This window comes from Homo sapiens, chromosome 2, assembly GCF_000001405.40.
Source record: "Homo sapiens chromosome 2, GRCh38.p14 Primary Assembly".
In the NCBI taxonomy this organism is placed as follows: Eukaryota; Metazoa; Chordata; class Mammalia; order Primates; family Hominidae; genus Homo; species Homo sapiens.
This window is the reverse complement of record NC_000002.12, coordinates 144,117,206-144,138,806: the sequence shown is the minus strand read 5'-3', so window position 1 is coordinate 144,138,806 and position 21,601 is coordinate 144,117,206. Positions and strand designations below refer to the sequence as shown.

At 35.3% G+C, this 21,601-nt stretch overlaps 1 protein-coding gene across 66 annotated transcripts in view; it reads left to right on the top strand.

Moving 5' to 3' along the window:
• Nucleotides 1-21,601, top strand: part of QTMAN (queuosine-tRNA mannosyltransferase) — a 395,002-nt gene that overhangs the window by 194,263 nt on the left and 179,138 nt on the right. For 6 of the 66 annotated variants that reach the window (NR_164799.2, NR_164807.2, NR_164802.2 and 3 more), the window contains exon 7: nucleotides 2,489-2,605. The exons of 57 other annotated variants lie outside the window; for them this stretch is intronic. The gene's annotated coding sequence lies outside the window, so the exon portion shown is untranslated. Of the gene's footprint in view, nucleotides 1-2,488; nucleotides 2,606-10,484; nucleotides 10,562-10,762; nucleotides 10,907-21,601 lie in introns of all 66 variants that reach the window. 3 more of the 66 variants (NM_001354350.2, NM_001376329.2, NR_164808.2) reach the window with 3 other exon arrangements.

Here is a 21,601-nt window from a genome sequence, read left to right as displayed (position 1 = left end):
TTCTCCTTTTTTTAGAACACTCCAATACCAAATCTTCTATCTTCATTCTCAGCTGATGAGTGAGGAAATAGGAGCAATCAGAAGACAACTTTAATTTATTGATACTACCAGGTCCACCCAATTATGTGCTTCTTCTGGGTGCATATTCTCCATCTTCTCACCTGTTACTGGGGATGAACAACCTTGCTTCTGTGTAAGGCCCCATCTACACTTCTTTTCCAGAACTCATCCATCCCACATACTCAAGGACTATTGTCCTAACAATTTTTTCTGGTCTATTCTACATCATCAATTTTCCTTTCTTCTGAATTATTCCTATTTTCCTTTTATCTGAATTATTTCTATTAACATAAAAAAATTATTTCTTACATCTTAAAATTTTTTTTTCTCCTTATTCCACTTCCCCCTTCTACTACCTCATTTCTCTCCTTCTCTTAGTAGCAAAACCTTAAAAGAGTTGTTTATACTTGTTCCTTCTAAGTTCCTTCCTCCTGTTCTGAGTTAAAACTATTCCACTGAAATAGTTTTAGTCAGGGTCACCACTGCCTCTAAATCCTGTGGTCAGTTCGTAGTCCACATCTTATTTACCATAGCAGCAGCATTTGACACACCATGACACATTCTTCAGTTGTCTAGGGCACATAGTCCCCTGATTTTCACACAGACTGCTGCTTCTCAGGCTCCTTTGCTGGGTTCCTCATCATCATCCTGACCTTTTAACATTGGAGCCACTTTGGCATTCTTGACACTTAAGGGGTTGGTGGAGGAAGAGCCCAAGATTGAAGTGAGAAGACAAAGTAAGAGTCAGGAGGTCAACACTGAGATAATTATCCTGTGGAACAAAGGGGAGAGAGTTCTAAGGAGATAATCATTAGTGAATTCACAGCAGCGAGGTTAAGTAAAGTGATGACTAAAAAGCGTCCTTGAATTTGACCATTAAAAGGTCAGTGGCATCCACCCTGCATTCTATTAAGTCACAAAAAAGTTTCATGTGTATTGTCATAGCCAAAGAAACTTAGGATTCAGGTCTGGATGAGATCTCTCTCTGTCTGTCTCTGACGCGCATGTACTCTCTCTCTCTCTTTCTCTCTCTCCTCTTCTTATTTTATGGATAAAGGCGCCAAGGCCCAGAGAAGTTATATGTCTTCTGGTAATCACACAGCTAGATATAGGCAGAGCAGGAACTAGAACTGGTATCTCAAAATCTTCATCCAGTGTTCAGCCCACCACTTATTGTAAATGCAATTTCGGAAGTCTTGATTATCTGATTTTTCAGCTGACAGCAGATTAGCAGCATCAAATTGGGGGTGTGATAAAGGCAGTCTCACTGACAGCAGTAAAAAGTGACAGCTGACTGACAGCTTGACAACAGGGGAGGAGAGAGATAAACCATTTTGAAAAAAATATATGGGAAGTTAAAAAAAAAAGAAACATAGCAGCCTGGAGCCATTCTATGGCAGGGCAGGCAACTCTGCACATCAAATAACCCCTGCAGACATTTCTCCATGATTGTACAGCTTGTACATCAAAAGGATGACTGTGATTTATTAAGAGAGATTAAATGGTAATCAGTAAGTTTCATTTTAAGAATGTAGGAAAATGCATAATCCACTTTTGGCAGAAGTTATAAATGACAGCAAATGGAATTAAACATTATACCTTACTTTAAGATGTGCATGAGCTGTGTTCCCCTAAAGGAAGACAATAAACATCTAAAGCCTTTCTTGTGCAGTTGTAATATCCTTCAGTTTTCAGTGACCAGGAGACATGTTATTAAGCTATCTTTTTAAAATCTCCCTGATTACAGCTTTGCCATTGACCAAATTTCCCATTTCTGCTGGGTTGCAAACACTGGCTCCTTCCATACTGAAGGCTTCCAGGCCTGCAAGATGATTGGTGGTCAACAAAACAGATTTTGTAATATTAATACCAGAAGATAAATATGATCCTGAGACTTGGTGAGATGAGAATTACTACTGGAATGTATTGCAAAAGACTATTTTGTGTTAAAGGATATAGATTAGATTGAAAAGTCAAGCAATTTTGCAGTGTGTTTCAAGAAGACAGATTTCCCGTGGAACTCCATGGTGCTGAGTATGTGATGGAGAGGCAGAGAAAAAAGGGAGTAATCTTGCAACCTACTAAACTAGATGCTAAAGGAAGCCAATATTTTCATACTTTAGGTCATGTAATTGTCATAAAGGCAAGGCCTAGCAGAAGTAGGGAAATTTTAAATATCCAGACCTTTCTGCAAGTCTCAGTCTTATGAAATCCAAACATCTGAAGAATTACATCTTCCTTTCCCGTCTCTTTTCCTTTCTCTTTTCTCTTTTCTCCTTTCTCCTTCCTCCTTTCTCCTTTCCTTTCTTTTCCTTTCCTTTCCTTTCCTTTCCTTTCCTTTCCTTTCCTTTTCCTTTTCCTTTTCCTTTTCCTTTTCCTTTTCTCTGTTCCCTCCCCTCCGCTCCCCTCCCCTCCCCTCTTTTGACAGGGTCTCTCTCTGTCGCCCAGGCTGGAGTGCAATGATGTGATCATGACCCATTTCATCCTTGACCTCCTGGGCTCAAGTGACTCTCCCATCTTACCCTACTGATAGCTGGGACTGCAGGTGGGTATCTCCACATCCAGCTAATTTTTTAATTTTTTTGTAGAGATGGCGTTTCACCATGTTGCCCAGGCTGGTTTCCAACTCCTGGGCTCAAGCAGTCTGCCCACCTTGACCTCCCAAAGTGCTGGGTTTACAACCATGAGCCACCTTGCCTGGCCTCACATCTTGCTTTCTGACAGTGTCATCTTTAGATGGTAGAACTAGCCATAACAACTAACCCTTATTGATTATTACTCTATGCTCTGTATTGTACTAAATGCATTTATCATACATATCTTATCATTTAATATCTTTACAACTCTGAAAGACATTTCTTGTTGAAGAAACTCAGGCATAGAAAACGTAAGTAACTTTTTGCCAGTGATCACACATATAGATAGTAAAGGTATACCTGGAAACCAGATACTTTTTAATACTGTTTTAGAACCCAAACTCTTAACAATTTTGTTGTAACTACCTGTCTCACAAAGAGAAACTCTGGTCTCTAGTACTTGACTTTGACCAGTAAAGAACAAATGATTTATAAAAATGAACTGACAGAAAATTTGAATGAAAGTGAGTATGTCATGGTAACATTATAAGAGAAAGCGCTCAAGGCTTTTGAAAGCATATTTTTAAAAGGTTGAAGTTCTGAAAAAGAAGATACATCAACAGGAATGAGAAATTTTAAGAAAGAATTTTGATAGAAAAAATGAAAATGGTCCTAAAGAAGCAGAATAGGAGGAATACTTCAAAGAAACAGCTGTGGGCTCAGGCTGTGATTTCATGTGTAAGAAAACATCTTTTTTTTAATTTTATTTCTGAAGTTATGTCTCATTTATACAAACTCTCTTGCCTCACAACTTAGCTTATAGCATGAAACATGTCTTATAGGGCAGTGCCCAGCCCATCACATTAGATGTTAAGGATGGAGCAGGCTGCATCTGCGCAGCATCCAACTTCTTCCGTCTGTCCCCCTACAAGATTCTCTACTGAAGGAGTATCCATGATTTTCATGTCAGTAGATTGTCTTCACTTCCAACAAATTGGATCATATAAGAATGTGTTATAGACTTACAGCAAATTACAAAGTAGCATTTCTCATCCTTGAAAAAGACCAACTCCTCCCAAGGAATTCCATGAGGGAGTCATGAATAGAGTGTATCAAAATGGGTATCATCTTCTTCAAATCATATTCAGCTGGATTAAACGTGAAGCGAGACAAATGCTCAGGTTGTCAGGCTGATATTTGTATATATTTATCAATTGTCTGCTTTCTCTGTCCCATTATGGAAAAAGTTAAAATTTTTTTCATTATGGTTGCATATAATTAATATAAAAAGATCAAATGTTTATGTTTCCTGTGGAGATCTTAAAAAAACACCCACTTGTTTATTTTTTAATGAGGAGATGAATGGATGCTATATCCTTAGGAGTTTAAGTTTAGATTTTGAGTAAATTAAAGCAAATATACTTTAGATTCAGAAATATATACTTTATCTGGGTTTCAGGTCCAACTTAGTTGTCACAGAGTATATCCAATGTCAACCTTGCTATGATCACTACAACAGAATTTCATATATTTTCACGATCATTTCACTGTCTGTTCCTATTTCCCACCACATTGGATTGTCAGAGTTGCCACAGAGTAAACAACAGTGGGTTTTTCCTGTGAATTTCCTCAATTTGTAGTAGATTTTACATCCCTGGAATAGGGATTATATAAAGAGCATTTCTGCTTTCCTACTTCCTACATTTTTGACATTGAAGAGGGAAAAAGGATGTTGGTCATTTGGGGTAATCTCATTTATCAAAACCTTACAAATTTCTCTGCACATTTCTCTTCATCATTTCTATGTAGCTGAAATGAGAACCCAAAACAGAGGTTTGTGGACTTTGCCTAACTAATTTAGAAACAGAAATAGGGAATTTTAAAAACAGTGTGAAAACTTTAAATGAAAACTCCCAGGCTGTGCAAACAAAGGCGAGGCGCCTAAGGGCTTTTTGAAGAATTCTTATTAAAAAAAAACACTATTTTACATTGCAAAGCAGATGTGTCAGAAAACAACAGCAGATTTGTAATTCGAGAATTTGTGGATTGATAGGACAGAAGGCAGCCCCCGTGGCTCCCCACGGAAAACTTTTTGTTTTCTGCCATCAAGAGTTCTGCTTTTAGGGAAGTTGCCGGAAAACACCTTAATCTTCTTACCACATGTGGTCATACTTCTCAGATATTTTGAGACAGTATTAATGTTGGACATACTAGTAAAACTACTGCCTTTGCTCTGTGAAATAATGAAATGGGCACTGTCTTCTTGAATATTAATCTGAAGCTAAAGTAGAAGAAAAGCTTTAACTTTACAAATTTAAACTTAACCATATTTGCTAACAATTATTTTGGCTCTTCAGAATAATTGCAAAAACGTGTTTCTTTTGAATGTCATTAAAAAATTTATAGAATTATTGTGTAAAAAAACTTTTGATAGATTATTCTAATGTATAACACTACTCACTGTCAAGAAATCTCCTTTATATCTAATATAAATCTTTCATGCTGTGTTAGGTTGTAACCATTTTCCTCTTAATTATCTTTGTTAAAAGAGAGTTTGGTTGTCAGTCATATATATATATATTTGTATTTATATTTATTTTTATTATAATATTTATATTTATATCTTTATATCTTTATATATATTTATTTATATATATTATGTATATATATTATATAATATATATTTTATATATTATATAATATATAATATATATTATATATTATATATTATATATTATATATTATATATATTATATATAATATATTATATTTATATAATATATATTATATTATTATTATATATTATATTATATATATACATATATAATATATATTTATATATGTATATATACATATATATTTATATGAACATATATATTTATATATGTATATATAAATATATATTTATATATATTTATATATATTTATATATAAATATAAATATATATTTATATATGTATATATAAATATATATATATAAATTTATATTATATATATTTATATATATATTATATTATATTATATATATATATATATATATATATATATATATATTACCAGTCATTCCATTTTGGGTAATGCTGTATTAAAAGATGTAAATCAGTAGTACAGTATACAGGGTTTCCAGTTTGCGTTCTACCTCTAACTACCACTGTTCAGCCTAGGGCAAATCACTAAACCTTCCAGAGCCTCAGTTTTCTCATTTGTAAACTGAAAATTGAATATTGAATTTGTAAACTGAAAATTGAAATAGCAGCCCCCCACCTTAGGTGTGTTATGAGGATTGAGATGATTTTTGTAATGTGCTGACTACAACCTACAACTTTTTGGCAGATTTTAGTAGCTTTATTAGTACTTTCATTATCACCATTTTTGTTATCTATTGATCGGCTTTTTGGCAAGTTTGTCCATTCAACATGACTCCAACCTGAAAAGCAAAGGGGAACAAAATTCTGAAAACTCTAGTAATTCTGTAGATCTAAAGTTTATCACTAATTCAAGTAAATAAAAAGATAGAGACTGTCTTATATTCTACCAACCCATATGACGGCAGCCAAATGTTGTAACTTAGCAATGTGAGTACTGTGTCATGTGACATGAAAGGTCACATGTACAGCTGTTCTGTGACATCTGCCCAGCGGCTATGATATTCATACATTCCACATGGGTGATGAATGATGATGAGTGGATTGATCAGTACAGAAGTAATTCTAGTTGTTTAGTATTCTATTTTAGAATGCTGGGAAATGTTCTGTGAAGTTTTCCATTAAAAAATAAACAATTTGGAACATACCATTGAAAAGTAAGCTACCAGAATAATCTCTTAGCCAGAGTGGCTCATTCCCTAATAAATTCCTGATAAAAGATTTTGTTATGTAGAAAATTCTTTTAAAATATGCCTCAAAAAATTAGGTGTAATGAAATTTACTTCCCAGTAATTTAATTCTTTGAGGTTTTATATATGCCCTTGTTCACCCAACATCTATTAAAAGTTTGTTATTTATGTGCTAAATACAAGATATTCTGGGATATAAGGATAAATAAGACAGAGTTTTTAATCTTCAGGTTAAGATCTTTGTAGAAATAATAGGCATATTCAGGTGAATATTCACCTGAATATATTCACCTGAATATTCAGGCATGTTCAGATAGTAAAAACGATGTGATTTTTATGGCATTTGAGCTGGGCACTAAGACTCACCAAGCTTTGGGCATAATCATAATGGATATCCTTTATCAAGTGCCTTTTCTGGGCACACACTTTATGTACATTACTTTTCATCTTTACCAATCCCCTGGAAGCTAGGTAGTATTAACCTCATTTTGCAAGTGAGGAAACCGAGGTTCAGAAGGTTAAGCTTGCCTGAAATTGCTTAGCTACCCAAACTGTCTTACTCTAATACTTACTTCTATTAATGCCATGTTATTTCTTGCTGTTAGGGAATGGAGGTGAGTTAGAGTGAGTGAGAGGGCACATTATGAAGACAGAATATAGGTACACAGAATTGTGAAAGTAAATGGTCATTGGATCTAGAGAAGATTAATTATCTTTGACTTAGTTGTGTGAGGAGGTGGTAAGACTATAGATGGGATTAAGACTAAGGAATTTAGACTTTGGCCTATAGTCATTTGGTAGCCACTGTTACACTACAGCATGGATAACTTGGTATCCATGAGTAGAATATTGATGGAAAAGGAGATAAGAAACAGAGAAACAAGTGAAAAAACTACTAGAATAGGTTATTGGAGATGAACTGGAGAACTGGCATAACAATGAAAAGGAGGAAGCACACAAATAAACTGGTCATACACTTGGCAAGTTGATGTGACAACTTGATGGAGGAGTGTCCGGGAGATTTCGAAGTATTGATTATAGTGACTGGGGGAAGATCTGTGCTATTGGAATTGAGAAACAGATTTGCTGATATAAAGATGGTGAATTCAACGTTGTATATATTGAGTCAGAGATGAGTCAGAGCCTCGTTTAGATGGAGCTGACCTGCAGGAAGTGTGATTTGTTATATTGACCTGCATTTGCAGAAGGTTTGGTTGGATTTGCCCTTTCGTTTGACATACTTGATACTGCTCAAATTATTTTTTTCAAATAAATATAATTGTTTCTTATCATTTATTACTGATTGATAAAAACTGAGTGCAAAATTTGTAAAACCATCAGATCTTTTCAACTCTTTATTTCTGGGTAAGCAGGAGTATATTGAATTACTCTTCTCTTTGTCTTCTCAGAGTTCAATAACATAATTGCTTTTGGTCACTTTGGATAGAGAATCATGAGATGAAGTACTGTATGTTGATAAGACAGTGTGGTGTAGTGCCTAAGAAAACTGACTTTGATGTCAGACAGAGCTGTTTCAATACCATGTCTTCTGATAACCAGTGGCTGCTGTTAATAAAGTTGCTTGACCTTTGCCACCTCATTTTTTTCTCTTACTGGTCAAGTAGGGGGAGTAATTTCAGTCATGTTACATTGTTGTGAGAATTAAATGAGGTATTGTGTGTAAGATACTTGGCAAAATTCTTGAGCTATAGTAAGCACTAAATAAATGATTGTTGTTATTATTTTTAATTTGTGTGTTCACAAAATGATATTGTTCTTTCATTAACCTATATGTAATGTCTTTAATTTTCTGTAGAGCCAGAGCTCTGCCACAAATTGTAATCCAGCTCAACTTCAGTATTTTTAGGAGTATCATATGATGTTTACTTTATGTCAACTTAGTGTTTTGTGTTTTTTGATTAACAGTTGCTTTCTCTAGTACTAACTACCTTACTATGCTGTACTGAGTGCCAAAATTCTTCTTAGAAACATTGCTAAGAATATTAGATCCAAGTACTTTTCTATGTGTGCACTTCTGTTGTATGTTTTGAGGGTCTTCTGCACTTTTGGCCTAATAGGAGGTGAATTACAGAACTTTCTTACCTCTGTAAGGTTTATATCATTACCAGCTATCTATAGAGGTGCTTCTGTGAGTGATTAGAAAAGATAGGCTTTCCCCTGTGGGGGTGGCTGGGAAAAGTGTAAATTACTATTACAGGTTTATTCTTTTTTTTTTTTTTTTTCCAGAAATTAGTCAGCCCTGTATCATGAGATTCAAAAAATTAACTTTGAAGATATTGAAAAAGAAAGCCTTCCTACTATGTTATTTTTCAATAAATGATGTCTCAAATCCATTTACAAAAAGAAATGATATGCTTTCCTTAAGTTTGGTTGTTTTGTTCTTACTATATTTGACTCAATGTTGTCTACGAATTTATTTTTATTAGTAAGTGTTCTCATGAAACTAGTTATAAAATATTTTTCTCTGTGTTTGGAAGATTTCTGTTTATCAGTACTATTAAATGTGGTACTTTAAAACATTTTGTAAAAATAACAGTGAGAACTTCATATAGGATATCTAGTTATAATTCTTTTTAATTAAGGTGAGCTCACTAGCTGCACAAATGATATTCATACATTCCACATGGGTGATGAATGATGGTAAGTGGATTGATCAGTACAGAATTAATTCTGATTGTTTAGTGTTGTATTTTAGAATGCTGGGAAATGTTTAAATACTTGGCCCTCCTTCAGTAAATTCATATTTTCTTGCCTGTTGTTCCAAACTGGAATCTTGGTCCTGTTTCTTAAATAGCCATGAAATGAAAATTGTAGAAGTTCTTCCTTATTTCTTCCTTGGTCACACACTAAAATTTACCTATAATTAGTGGGCATCAAGAGAAGAAATAACATTTTAGCACCTCTTCTCTCCTGTATATTTTCATGTGTCCATGGAAATATAGTCCTCATTTGAAATTCAGTCCCTAGTTGGGAATGTGCTTCCTGTTCCTGTCATCAGCTCTTGAGTTCATGAGTCTGGCCTGTACCTCTAAATTTATTTACATTTAGAGAGCTGATTTATCTGTTTTGGACACCCACCTATTTCAAATCCAGTGCAAATCTGCCTTATTGACTAACTACTGACACCTTGAGCAGACCAAGTCATCTATGAGTAAAAGATGGGTCTATTCAAAGCTACTATATTTCATTTTTATAATATCAAAACTTATTTTATAATACGGAATCCTTAAGTGCATATTATAATTATTTTCCATTAATTGAAGAGGGAACTTCTGTCTCATGCTGTGAGAATGGAATTAAAAGAGACAGTGGGACAGTAGAATGCCCAGGATTGAGTGATAAATTCTGTTGGAAACAAAAGACAAGGAGAAGACAAGGGGTGGGGGGTGAGTGAACTCAAAACAATTCATAAGTTTTTGAAAATTCTTGTATTATTAACTAAAATAGAAAAATCAGACAAAAATGTCAACTACATTTCCACTGTAGACAGGTTCATTCTCTTTTCAGTTTTAGACAGTCGATTTTGTTTTAATGAAAGAATAGAATTAGAACTTTTCAGAACTGGAAGGGTATCTATGAAATAAAAACTTTAGAAATCTTCCCATCCAAATCTGTTATCTGATAGCTGGGGAAACTACAGTAGAGAGGTGTTTACCTGAGATTGTTAGAGCACTATGGCAGCAGAATCAGAATTTAGAAGCAAAGAGAAAAAACTTCATGAAATTGTTAGAAATGTGGTACTAGAGTCATTCACTGCATTAGTAGTTAGTAGAATAGGATTAGTCAACATTGACAAAATAGATCCATTTCTTCAGGAATAGATGGTATTCAGAAATTTCTTAGAAGAGTCTCAAATATTTCAGTTGCATCACAACTTGTGGCTATTTTTCACTGAAAATAATTTTATTTCTCTGATCTGTAACTCATTTTGAGATGAAAATGCATATGACTCAGTGAACTCCACTTGCTGATAGCGTATTTTGTTCTTCCAGTAAACACTGGGCTACTCATATAAAACTTATTTGAAGAGTGAGGAATAAGAGTTTCCAGCATTTGAAACTCAGAACCTGTAAGTTATTTTCTTGTCTCTCTTTTCTGAGATTTGATACCACAGATCCTGAGTGAATCAGTATTATGTACAACCATCAAAATTTTTAATGCTTTCTCTTTGCAAGTTTTATATAAATTATTTATCTTTTATGAATAAATTTTTTTCCTAAGCTCTCCCTCCAGGTTTGTCTTCAGAGCCTATTTAAATTTTCCATTGCAGGGTGGCTGTAGCAACACTCCTGTTCTGCCTCTTCCTGTGGCTATCAGGTGAATCCTTCTTTTTATCCCTGAGTCCTGTTGGGATAGCTGGCTGACGTCATGAGGCGTGGGCTGATGTTCTGGTCAGTTCAGAGTATGGGATAGGGTAAGGGAGAGTTTCATGTGTTATAATGTGGTACAGGGGGAAGAACATAAACTTAGGAGTCAGACTTGGGTTCCAGTCTTAGCCACTTTCTAGATGTGTATCTTGGTCAACTTATGTCACCTGTTCAGACTCTTAGATTCTCTAACATTAAGTCCTAGAGATCAAGTGAGGATCATGTGAGAGAGAACATAGGTAAAGTGTGGAATATATTCCCTGCACATCTCTCTGCCCTTCCCATGTATAAGGTCACACCTACTCCTCTGTTTCACTTTATCAACTTTAATCGCCACTCACAGGCATCTAAACTGACCTCTTTTTGTTGCTACCTCAATTTCTGATGCTTTGAGGGATTATTAAAGTATATGACTCAATTTGCTATTGTATGGATAATCCACATACCACTACCATGTTTTGTCAGTGTGTTCTTCCATCTCTTCCCTCATGACTAACTTAATTCAATTCAATAACTTTTTACAATGTAAGTCCTAGTCATTTTCAGCAACTTTTTGCAATGTAAGTCTAGTCCTTTTATAGAACTTGGGATACTCATGACCCTTTCCTGCTGCTTATGGGTAGGTTTCACCTGCTCTGTTTTGTTTACATTTTTTTTGTGTGTGTTTGTTATGTTTTATTTAGTGGCTGTTATTCAGCATTAGCACTGTGGAAGAGGGCTGTTATGATCAATAACAATCAGCTATTCATATCATTATATGTAATCTTTGAGTACTTGACTCTGATTGAAAACCTGTTTCTCTTCATGCTTGTAAGTATTTCTTTTATATGTCCTGAATGTGCGGGTTGGGTTGAGGGTGCATTACTTCTAACTGTAGGTAGATGATTAATATGCAGGTAAGCGTTAATGTGTTAATAGATTTTTTGTGTGTGTTCTAAAAAGAGAGAGTATGTCTTAGATGTATTTGTCAGAAAAAAAGTTAGTATAAGATTTTACAGTTTAGCACAAATAATATACCCAGAGCTAACTTGTGTCGGGTTCAAAAAGCCTTCTAGTTATTACCAAAAAGATTACATTAGAATTTTGACCCTTCAAAAATATAGTCCTTAGGTGATAGAGCCTTTCTCCTCCCAGTTGATGAAGTATCACTCCACGAAACATGCCTTTGGGGTCTAGTTGTGTGGCCTGTATTAATGAAGTACAGTAAACCCCCACTTAACATTATCAGTAGGTTCTTGGAAACTGTGACTTTAAGTGAAACAACATACAGCTGGTCCTCAAATAATACCATTTTATTCAATGTTGTTTTGTTTTAAAGTTGATGAGGGAAAAAAATGATTTTGTGTATTGTTTCACTTAAAATTGTACTTTCCAAGAACCTATTGAAGCCGTTAAGTGAGGACTTAGTGTATGACTGTATGCATCCCCTCAAATACATACTGTGATTGGTTTTTCTGCCTTAAGTAAAAGCCAGTCAAACCACAATCATAACCAGGTTGGTAAAATATAGCTCATAGCAGTGGTTTTTCTATGTTAAGTGGACATCATAATCACCTGGAGAGCTTTAAAAAGTCCTGATCTCTGAGTCTGTTAAGTCAGAATATCTGGGGTTGGAACCAGGTGTTTGTTTGTTTGTTTCTTGTTGTTATTGTTTTTTTTTTTAAGTTCACAAGTTATTCTACTGTGAAACCAAGGTTGAGAGCCACTGACTGAAAGCAGTTCTACCAAATTACAAACTGTGGAAGGTCCACATACCTTCAGTAGCCTCTCTTGGTTGCATCATGACACCATTTTCAGTATTGCCAAAATTATATTCCTGTCTGCAAGTGTCCTCAGGCAATCTATAGTAAAAAATTATGTCTCCAAGAAAATGAATTTGTATAATTTTCTGGCTATCCTGATGAAAAATAAGAAAATGTTAAAAATTGTATTTATCCTTGATCTCTTTCTCCATACGTGTTGGCATTCCTCCATTTCCCATTGACTTAACGTTCAATTTTTCTCTTCACTGTTTTTCTTGGGTGACATTGGGAATTTTTACCATCTGATAAGGCAGATGTATTTTCAAATAAAAATGTCTTAAGCATTTGTTCTTCCTACTATTCCTTTCTTTGGCAGAATATTCATATAGTTGATAAATAGTTTGCTTTCTTTAAATACCTTTTCATATAATCTTTGTAGCATGTTTCATGGGTATTTTAACCTAGTTTTATGGTTTTTCATGAAATAAGGTATTTTCTAAATATGTTATGCTGAATTTAACTGAAATAAGCAGTTGTACTGTATGTCTTTAAAATGATGATGATATCTTGCATTTTAGGGTAACACTTTCATCCTGAAAGATTCCAAAGCACACTGAGAATGGTTACAAATTATACAGTGCAGCACAGTCACCATTGTAGAGTGAAGCATGGCAGCTGTTTAACAGCTCATCACAACACTACACAGCAGGTTAGGGTACGAAGTGAAGGATAATAGTGGATTCACTTGAAAAAATTGCTAGGGGGTTGAGGTAAGCAGAATGTAATTACCTAAGTTGGAATTTATCCAGGACATAAGGCTAACACCTCCAGTCTTAGAAGAGAAGCTCTGATTCTTTAATAACCATGTATTACATGCTATGTAACTAAAATGTAAGGGTGCTTCTAGCCTCTTCAAATCATAAATGTATGCTCAGTGTTCCAGTTGAGACTTAAAAAGAAAAAAAAAAGCCTTCTTTTAAAAAAACTCACATGTTCATACTAACTCGGGGATGATAGGCTTCTATTTGCATGGCATTTTTGGCTCTTAATGGCTGGAGCTTGTCGAGGATTCTAAGATGTTCAGAATTAAAAACGAATTCTATGATAGATTAGTAATGTCTGCCATGGGCATGGCAAAAGTAGTGCTTATACCTGTGCTATATTTTCTAGCTCCAAGACTTGGCTGCTAGTTTCCTGGGATGACTTAGCAATACTCTGAATTCTTTTCAAACCTTTGGATTAATTTTAATTACTCTTCCAGACATATGTAAGTTTTCCTAAGAAAAGTTTAGGGGAAAAGAACATTGACCGTTTTTTAGTAACTGTCATTGTTGGGGTTAGAGATAAAAAGATATAACCTTATGTCAAAAATTTCAATGCAAAAATGTCTAGCAAAGGAAGCAAATGGTGTCAGATTGGGTTTTCATTTGGAAAAATAAATCAACATCTGAGAGAAGCAAATGGTAATTAAGTTTAGGAACACAAGGTAGCAGAAACCTGTTACTAAATCAAGGTGAGAACTGAACACCGGAATTTGGTTTGTTTGAGGAATAAACTTTGGTACATAGAATAATAGGGCCCTGGCTCTGAAACCTGCACCAGGGATAGCTCCCAGTGATGGTGGCTTCTCCATGGCTCTTCAGTTCTTTCCCATTCAGACTGACCCTCTATCTAGAGCTTCCACTCTGTGGCTTAGTAATGCCTATAAAATCAGGAAAATGGACCCTTTCATCCTGCTAATGTTAATATTAGAAATAAGTTTATAAGCGAGGTACTGTAAAATTCATTTTGCATATCTTATTTAATTCGTATGACCTAATATGTTAGGTATTATAACTCACATTTACATATGAGAAGATAAAGTTAAGTAATTTGCCTGTAGTCCCATTTCAAATGAATGATGACACCATAAGTTAAACTTTGATGTGTCTGGCTTCAAAGCGTGTGTTCTTAATAACTGTACCACAAAGTTACATGAGACTGAGATCACTGGTATGGCACTTGCTTCTTATAAACTAAAGTGGCTATAGGAACATTCTGGGGGTTTAAAGCATAGTTGAGGAGGAAATTTAGAACGCTTCTACTAGCAGTCTAGGGTGTGGATAATTTGTATGTTCTTCTGTCTTCCAGAATCATTATGGATAGAGTTGTTAGAACTCAGAGACAGTTTCTTGTAGTCCTTTTGATAGGATCCAAGTTATTTGACTAGAAAACAATGTTTTAGTTTGTTTAGAGGGAATTCCTGTATTCTTACAAGTTTGGTTAAAGTAATCTGTAAATTACTTTAAACTTGTGATATTTTGATTCTAGATCCTATATCTTTGTCTTATTCCCTATTTTATTTCCTCTTATTACGCACTGGTATCAATGGGTGTAAAAGATCTTCTTGCACTCTAATTTAGAGAATATGAAACCATAAGCTTGCTTTTAGTTGGATCTATGACTCTAAGATTAAAAAGACAAGGACTGAAAAATTATGGATCATATTTCAATCTATAGTGCTGTGTTCTTACTTTTCTGAGAAGTTGGTTTTCCTTATATTCTTAGATATATCCAAAGAGGAACTCTAAACCAAAAAAGATTAGTTGTCCGACTTAAAACAGCCTTGGTCTAAGTAATCATCTAAAGTTCTAAGTAGGATGATAAAATCATCTTTTCATTTGATGATGGGCCATGTGGAAAAAACAAACTTTATTTAGTTATCTGTGTTATAAAATAATTTTCATACCTATATATCAGGAATAGATACTCAAGTTTACACCTGTGGTCTGGTAAGTCAAGTTTATGCCTGAAGCACGCTCAAATGTTCAGGTTATAAGACTCCAAAAAATGCCTTAGAGTGAAAAAGGACTGACAGACTTTTAATCATGGTAATGCTACTGTCACTTTTGAAGTCTGTGTAAGTTATCTATTACTGTACCTTTATGACAGAAAAAGTAATATTCTAAGAACAATATGTGATAATATGATTGGGAAAATTTGGTATAGTATGGTATGGTGAGTAGCTGGACACTGTTTTTCCATGGCTTGTAGTTAAGATATAATGATAGTGTATCAAATTCTACTTATATGGCTTTTAAATCCTTATAGATAGGTAATTTAACAATTTTTAAAAAGTAATTGATAAGTAATCTAATTATATGGTGTGTAAAAAGACATATAAATCATTTATTATGCAGGTCATATTTGTCTTTCTTTTATAGGATATTATTGTTAAGAGGGGTGCGTGTGTGTATGTGTGTGTCCATGTGTCTGCACGTGTGTGCACCTTCATTTTGGGTACTTTGAGGCAGTTCTATTGCCTTTCACATTGGGCTTGCAACCCCAGCTGCATATGAGAATCTTGTGGAAGTTTCAAAAATCTTTATGCCCAGGTAGCAACCTAGACAAAATAAATCTGAATTTCCAATAATAGAACTGAGATATCAATACATCTTTAAGCTTCCCAGGTTAAGGACCACTGATAAAATACGTGAATACTTAGTAAAGTATTTACAGCTTGTACACATGTAGATAATTGCATGGAGAAGATGAACGAAAATTTTCCTTCTCCTAATACAGAGGAGAGTTTTTTGGAGGGTTGTGGTAGGTTGCTTATTGAAATAGGATGACCAGATAGAACATAATACTGTAAAACTTTAGGCTGAAAGAGACTTTCATTTAGTATCCTTTCCATTAGCAGTGACTTAAGTGAAACACCTGAAGAAAGATGTAAAACACCCGCAATTCACCTGGCCATTTGTGCAGTGTTTTTTCTTGACTCCAGCTGCTAGCCAACTTATGACCTGAATCTTGATGATTAATAGCTCTTATAATATTTTCTTAGCTAGTGTAACTTCAATAGCAATACTTTTTCTTCTAATGTCTTACCCTTATAAAATAGCACTAAACTATTTTTCTCAATAAATTCTACTGACACATGGTCCCATAGATTAATTATAAATTGCATAGAAGTACTGCCCTTTGTCAGTTTTAAATGTGTAGCTTTATCTTCTCTTTCTCCTTGTCTTTCCAAGCTAAATGGAATTAGAAGCTTAAAGAAACCTGATTTACATGGAATCTATTTCTGTTCTCTTATTTTAAACAATAGTGCCATTAATTTTAATTCTAGGCTCTTTGGTTCCTCTACTATTTTCATTATTATTGTAATTAAAAAAGAGTCATCTCTATTTTTACAAATCCCTTTATTTTACAACACTGTATAAACATATTTTTAGGGAATAATTTTTTCCTCAAATGCTGTTATTTTTTACCTACTGGGCTCTCTCCATAAATTGAATTAGGAATACCAAATAACTTTTATTCATCACCATCATCTTTTTTTTAAAGGTGAAGATGAAGGGGGAATGAGTATCAAAAAGGACTTAGACAATTATGGAAATAAATATTGGGCCTCTTTGGCATGGGTATTTGAAAACACCCCAAAGTAGATGGAATGAGTAACTTTAGGGCTTCATGCTGGCACAGCCCCGCAAATATTTCCTTACAGGATTTTATAGACATTTCACAATAAATGTATTTTGTTAAAATGGTCTTAGGTCCTATAAAGCAGAGTCTGTATTCTAGGAGGAATTCTTTTGGAGTTATTTAATAGTATTCCTTTCACAGTGCCTCCCTTCTTCATACTTTTGTTCCCATTGCAATGGTAGTGTCTTTGACCAGAGGGTAGTGTATGGTAGATGCACCTGACAGCAACAACTTAAGCATACCCTGAGAATGACTGTATGGCAGACATACTGAATGTGTTCAGCGTTCTGAGCTAAGGAGTCTGGGAGTGGCCAACCCAGAAATTCATTCCTTATCAGTGAAGAACATCTGAGCCCCTGGTCTGTCCCTCATGTACAGGGGATCAAGGCCCTTTGTCTTGGGTTAAATGAAGTTTGCCAGGTGGAGGTAGTTAGTGGGAAGATGCTAAATGAAAATGCTATATAAACTGCATACTGTGCGAGGGTAGTGATTCTCCTGACCAGTGTGCCGCCACCAGACCAGTGCTTCTCCTGCCCAGTCCACTATCCCTAGACTCTCCCCTCTGTATGTAAGCCCCTGGTAAAACCCCATGTCTCATTCAATGGCTCTGAGTCTCTTCTTCAACCCCTTGAACATAGTGCCATCCCCATTGGCCTTGATAGGGGTTTGGCACAACAGGTAAAGACAGCTTACACTGAGTCTTAGCTGTTCCCTTTAAATGATTGAAAGGAAAGAAAATATGGTCTTCAATGGTTATATTTAAATATGGAAACTATTATTACTGAGATGCTGATCCCGTTACCCTTTGAAACAGGGCAAGGTAGTATCAGAAAATGTAGAGAAAGTGAGTTGGTTTGGATGTAACGAAGATGAAACACTATTATAATCAATAAAAGGCAGAGCCAGTTTTGTTTGTTTTTTTGTTTTGTTTTGTTTTCGGTTTAGGCAGCTCTTGAAATGGTATGATTTAAGGGGTAGCTCAGAAGTTTCAAACTCTCCTCCAAGCATCTCCCTAATACTTCCTGAAGTTCTGTCACCAGTTAAGAAGCAGTTCTTACCGAAATCCCTTTTTATAGTTGAAGGTTGCCAGATAACTCCTGAAATTATATATAAAATTTCGTGGGAATGTGTGTAAATGTGTGTGCTTTTTGAGAAGATTCATAACTGTCATCATAGCTTTATGTATCCATAAAGATATTCTTAAAAGCAGATGTCCATCATATAATTTTAGCTTATAATTTATTCATAGTTATTTCCTTCTGGTTATCTTACAAAGATGAGGAATTAACCTCTAGATCCAAAACTATAACTTGGATGTTCTGACCCCCAAATCTTTTGTTCTTTCCCAGGAACCCAGAAGGTGAGGGAGTTTAGAGTAAAGGGTAATACAGATATTGGGGCAGTTGGACTTGAGTGAGGCACTACAGATTTTAAGTACCTACCTAGAGGCTAGCATGATGGTAGTAGGTATGGAAGGCTCAGCAAGTGAGGTGGGTCAGAAGATAGAAAAGGTGACGTGCATAAGAAGGTTGAAAGGCAGCAAAGTCTTAAGATATTTTTCACAACTTTTAGATCATCTCATACTAGGGGAAATTGGAATTGCATTCCCAATAGATATTTATTATATACCACAAATCTCATATTTTTTCTTTTGCATTCTTTCATAAAATTTCTGAAGATTTATCATGACTTCTTTCCAACCCTTCACTATCTCTGCTCTCTAATATCCTAATGATATATAATAACAGTAACTTTGTCACATTACTGCCTTTAAAACTATTCAATACCACTTCAGTTTATGAATTAATTTTATATTTTAACACTGTAGTTTCTAGGGCAGGTGTTAGTTTTTTTTGTTTTTTGTTTTGTTTTGTTTTGTTTTTAATATGGGCAAACGCAGGGTGCTTATATTCTAGAGGCACAGGATCTAGTGAAGAAAAAAGAAGAGAAGAGTATGAACAGCAAGAGCACTCAGCTTTAGACAGTAGACTCCTTATATTTGTGATTTTCTTTGTTTCTTGAGACAGCCCCATGAAGCAGGTACTCTGTCTTATTTTACAGTAGAAAATCCAAAGTGTAGAAATCCTAAGCACCTTGCCAGAGGTCCTACAGGCAGTCAGATGGCAAGGCTGGCCTCTGGCCTTGGCCCTTGGATTGGAGAACCTTCACATTTCACCAGTCTTCTGGTTTTGCTTCCCTGGTCATTGTACCATGTAATGTGCACAATCTGTATGAGGTACACCAGAAGTAGAGTTAGGACAGGGATTGCAGAGAAGACGACATTGGAGCTGTGCCTTGGAGGATGGAAAAGAGTTCCTTTGCCTATCTAACAGGAGCAGGAAGGTATTTTCATCTCAGGGAATACTCTAAGACATGGCCTGACTTGTATTTTAGAAAGGCAATAGTTCCTCATAGCAGTAGCTTGGGGTGTGACTATCTCAGGGTTTGTGCACATGGTTAGTGCAAAGTTAGAAATCAGATTCACGTAATCTGAATTCCTTGCTGCCTCTCAATACCTCTTAATTTTAATTCTTTGTAGTTATGTAAACAAATGAACTCTGGGAATTAATCCTGCATTAATTAGGAATTAATTTTCTTCCTGAACCCTAAACCTAACCCATAGTTCCTACTATTCATCTATCTGGTCTCTTGCCCAGACATTACCAGCCCTGTATTTAAACATTAAGATTCTTACCTAGTGTATAATTGCAAGGATTAATCTGTGAAACCTTTATTTGGGCCAACAAGGCATCCAGACCCTGAGTAAGTTCTGGGGACCCAAAGTTGCTGAGTCCTTTGCTACCCAGGAATTTTCACGATCCATATTTTTAAATTTTATTTATTTATTTATTTATTTTGAGATGAAGTCTTGCTCTGTCGCCCAGGCTGGAGTGCAGTGGTGCGATCTCGGCTCACTGCAAGCTTCGCCTCCCAGGTTCACACCATTCTCCTGCCTCAGCCTCCCAAGTAGCTGGGACTACAGGCATCCGCCACCATGCCCGGCTAATTTTTTGTATTTTTAGCAGAGACGGGGTTTCCATGTTAGCCAGGATGGTCTTGATCTCGTGACCTCGTGATCCACCCACCTCGGCCTCCCAAAGTGCTGGGATTACAGGCGTGAGCCACTGCGCCTGGCCCACAATCCGTATTTCTATGGCTAATGCAAATTCAACATCATAGAGCATAGTTTTTGCCAAACTTGAAAAATTGATATTTGTGTTTTTATGAATGTTTGTTTACAGCCGGAACTGGTATAAGACATATCCTGTGTTTTAAAAATATTTTTAGTTTTTAATCTCGGTAATAGCCAGAGAGATACTTAGCTTTTTGGAATATGGATAAATCTTTACATTCAACAGTTCATAGTTGAATTTTAAGGTGGAACTCATAAGGGGAACTGATTGATGTAGTAGTTGCTTACTGTAACTTTTCAGATGCCATGGCATTTTTATAGCATGCTACAGAGTTGAAGACAGATGAGAAAATATTAGTTGATACTACTTGCTGATACAAATGTTGAAAGACAATAACACATTTCAAGTCATATGAAATACCAGATTGTTAGGAGACAGGTGTTGTTTTAAAAATGTTAGTGTACTGCACGGTGGCTCATGCTTGTAATCCCAGCACTTTGGGAGGCCGAGGTGGGCAGATCACAAGGTCAGGAGATTGAGACCATCCTGGCTAACACGTTGAAACCCCCTCTCTACTAAAAATACAAAAAAATTAGCCGGGCGTGGTGGCGGGCACCTGTAGTCCCAGCTACTTGGGAGGCTGAGGCAGGAGAATGGTGTGAACCCAGGAGGTGGAGCTTATAGCGAGCCAAGAGGGCGCCACTGCACTCCAGCCTGGGCAACAGAGTGAGACTCTGTCTCAAAAATAAATAAATAAATAAATGAATAAATAAATTAGTATACTATAGGTTTTAGATAAATCTCAAGTACTTTAAAATACTTCACATTATATATGCATTAACATTTTATGTATATGCATGGAAAATTGACATTTGAAACTCACATTTTACACAGAAAACACTAACTTATCAACCTGTCAAATAAAAACTCAGCTCACACTGACCTATTTAAAAGTCAAAGTCAGTTATTTATCATAAGGCAAACAAGACACTAGCAAAAGAATTACAATGTTTATCACTCAAACTTTAGTATTTTATGCTATTTAATGATGTAATTATTTATTATTGTTAGAAACTTAATGTGCTTAGAAAATTATGCATTGCCGTGTTAATTTCGGAGTCTGAAAGTTTTTATGTTTTATAATTTTTTCCTAGAGGAGTTATATGGGCTGAGTTATGAAGATTAAAAAATAAGAAAAGGGACTCACAGATAAGAGAGCTAGGAAATGGCTAGAGTTGACAGACTGAGGAAGTGGAAATGGAAAAATGAGGTATTGATGATTTCACTTGGTGCTTCTGTGAGGTTGAATTTGAAAAAAGGAGAGGATATGAGCTGTGTGGATCAGGTGCTAGCTGATTACATGAAAGTGGAAAATGCTAATCTACTGTCAGCGTGAAAA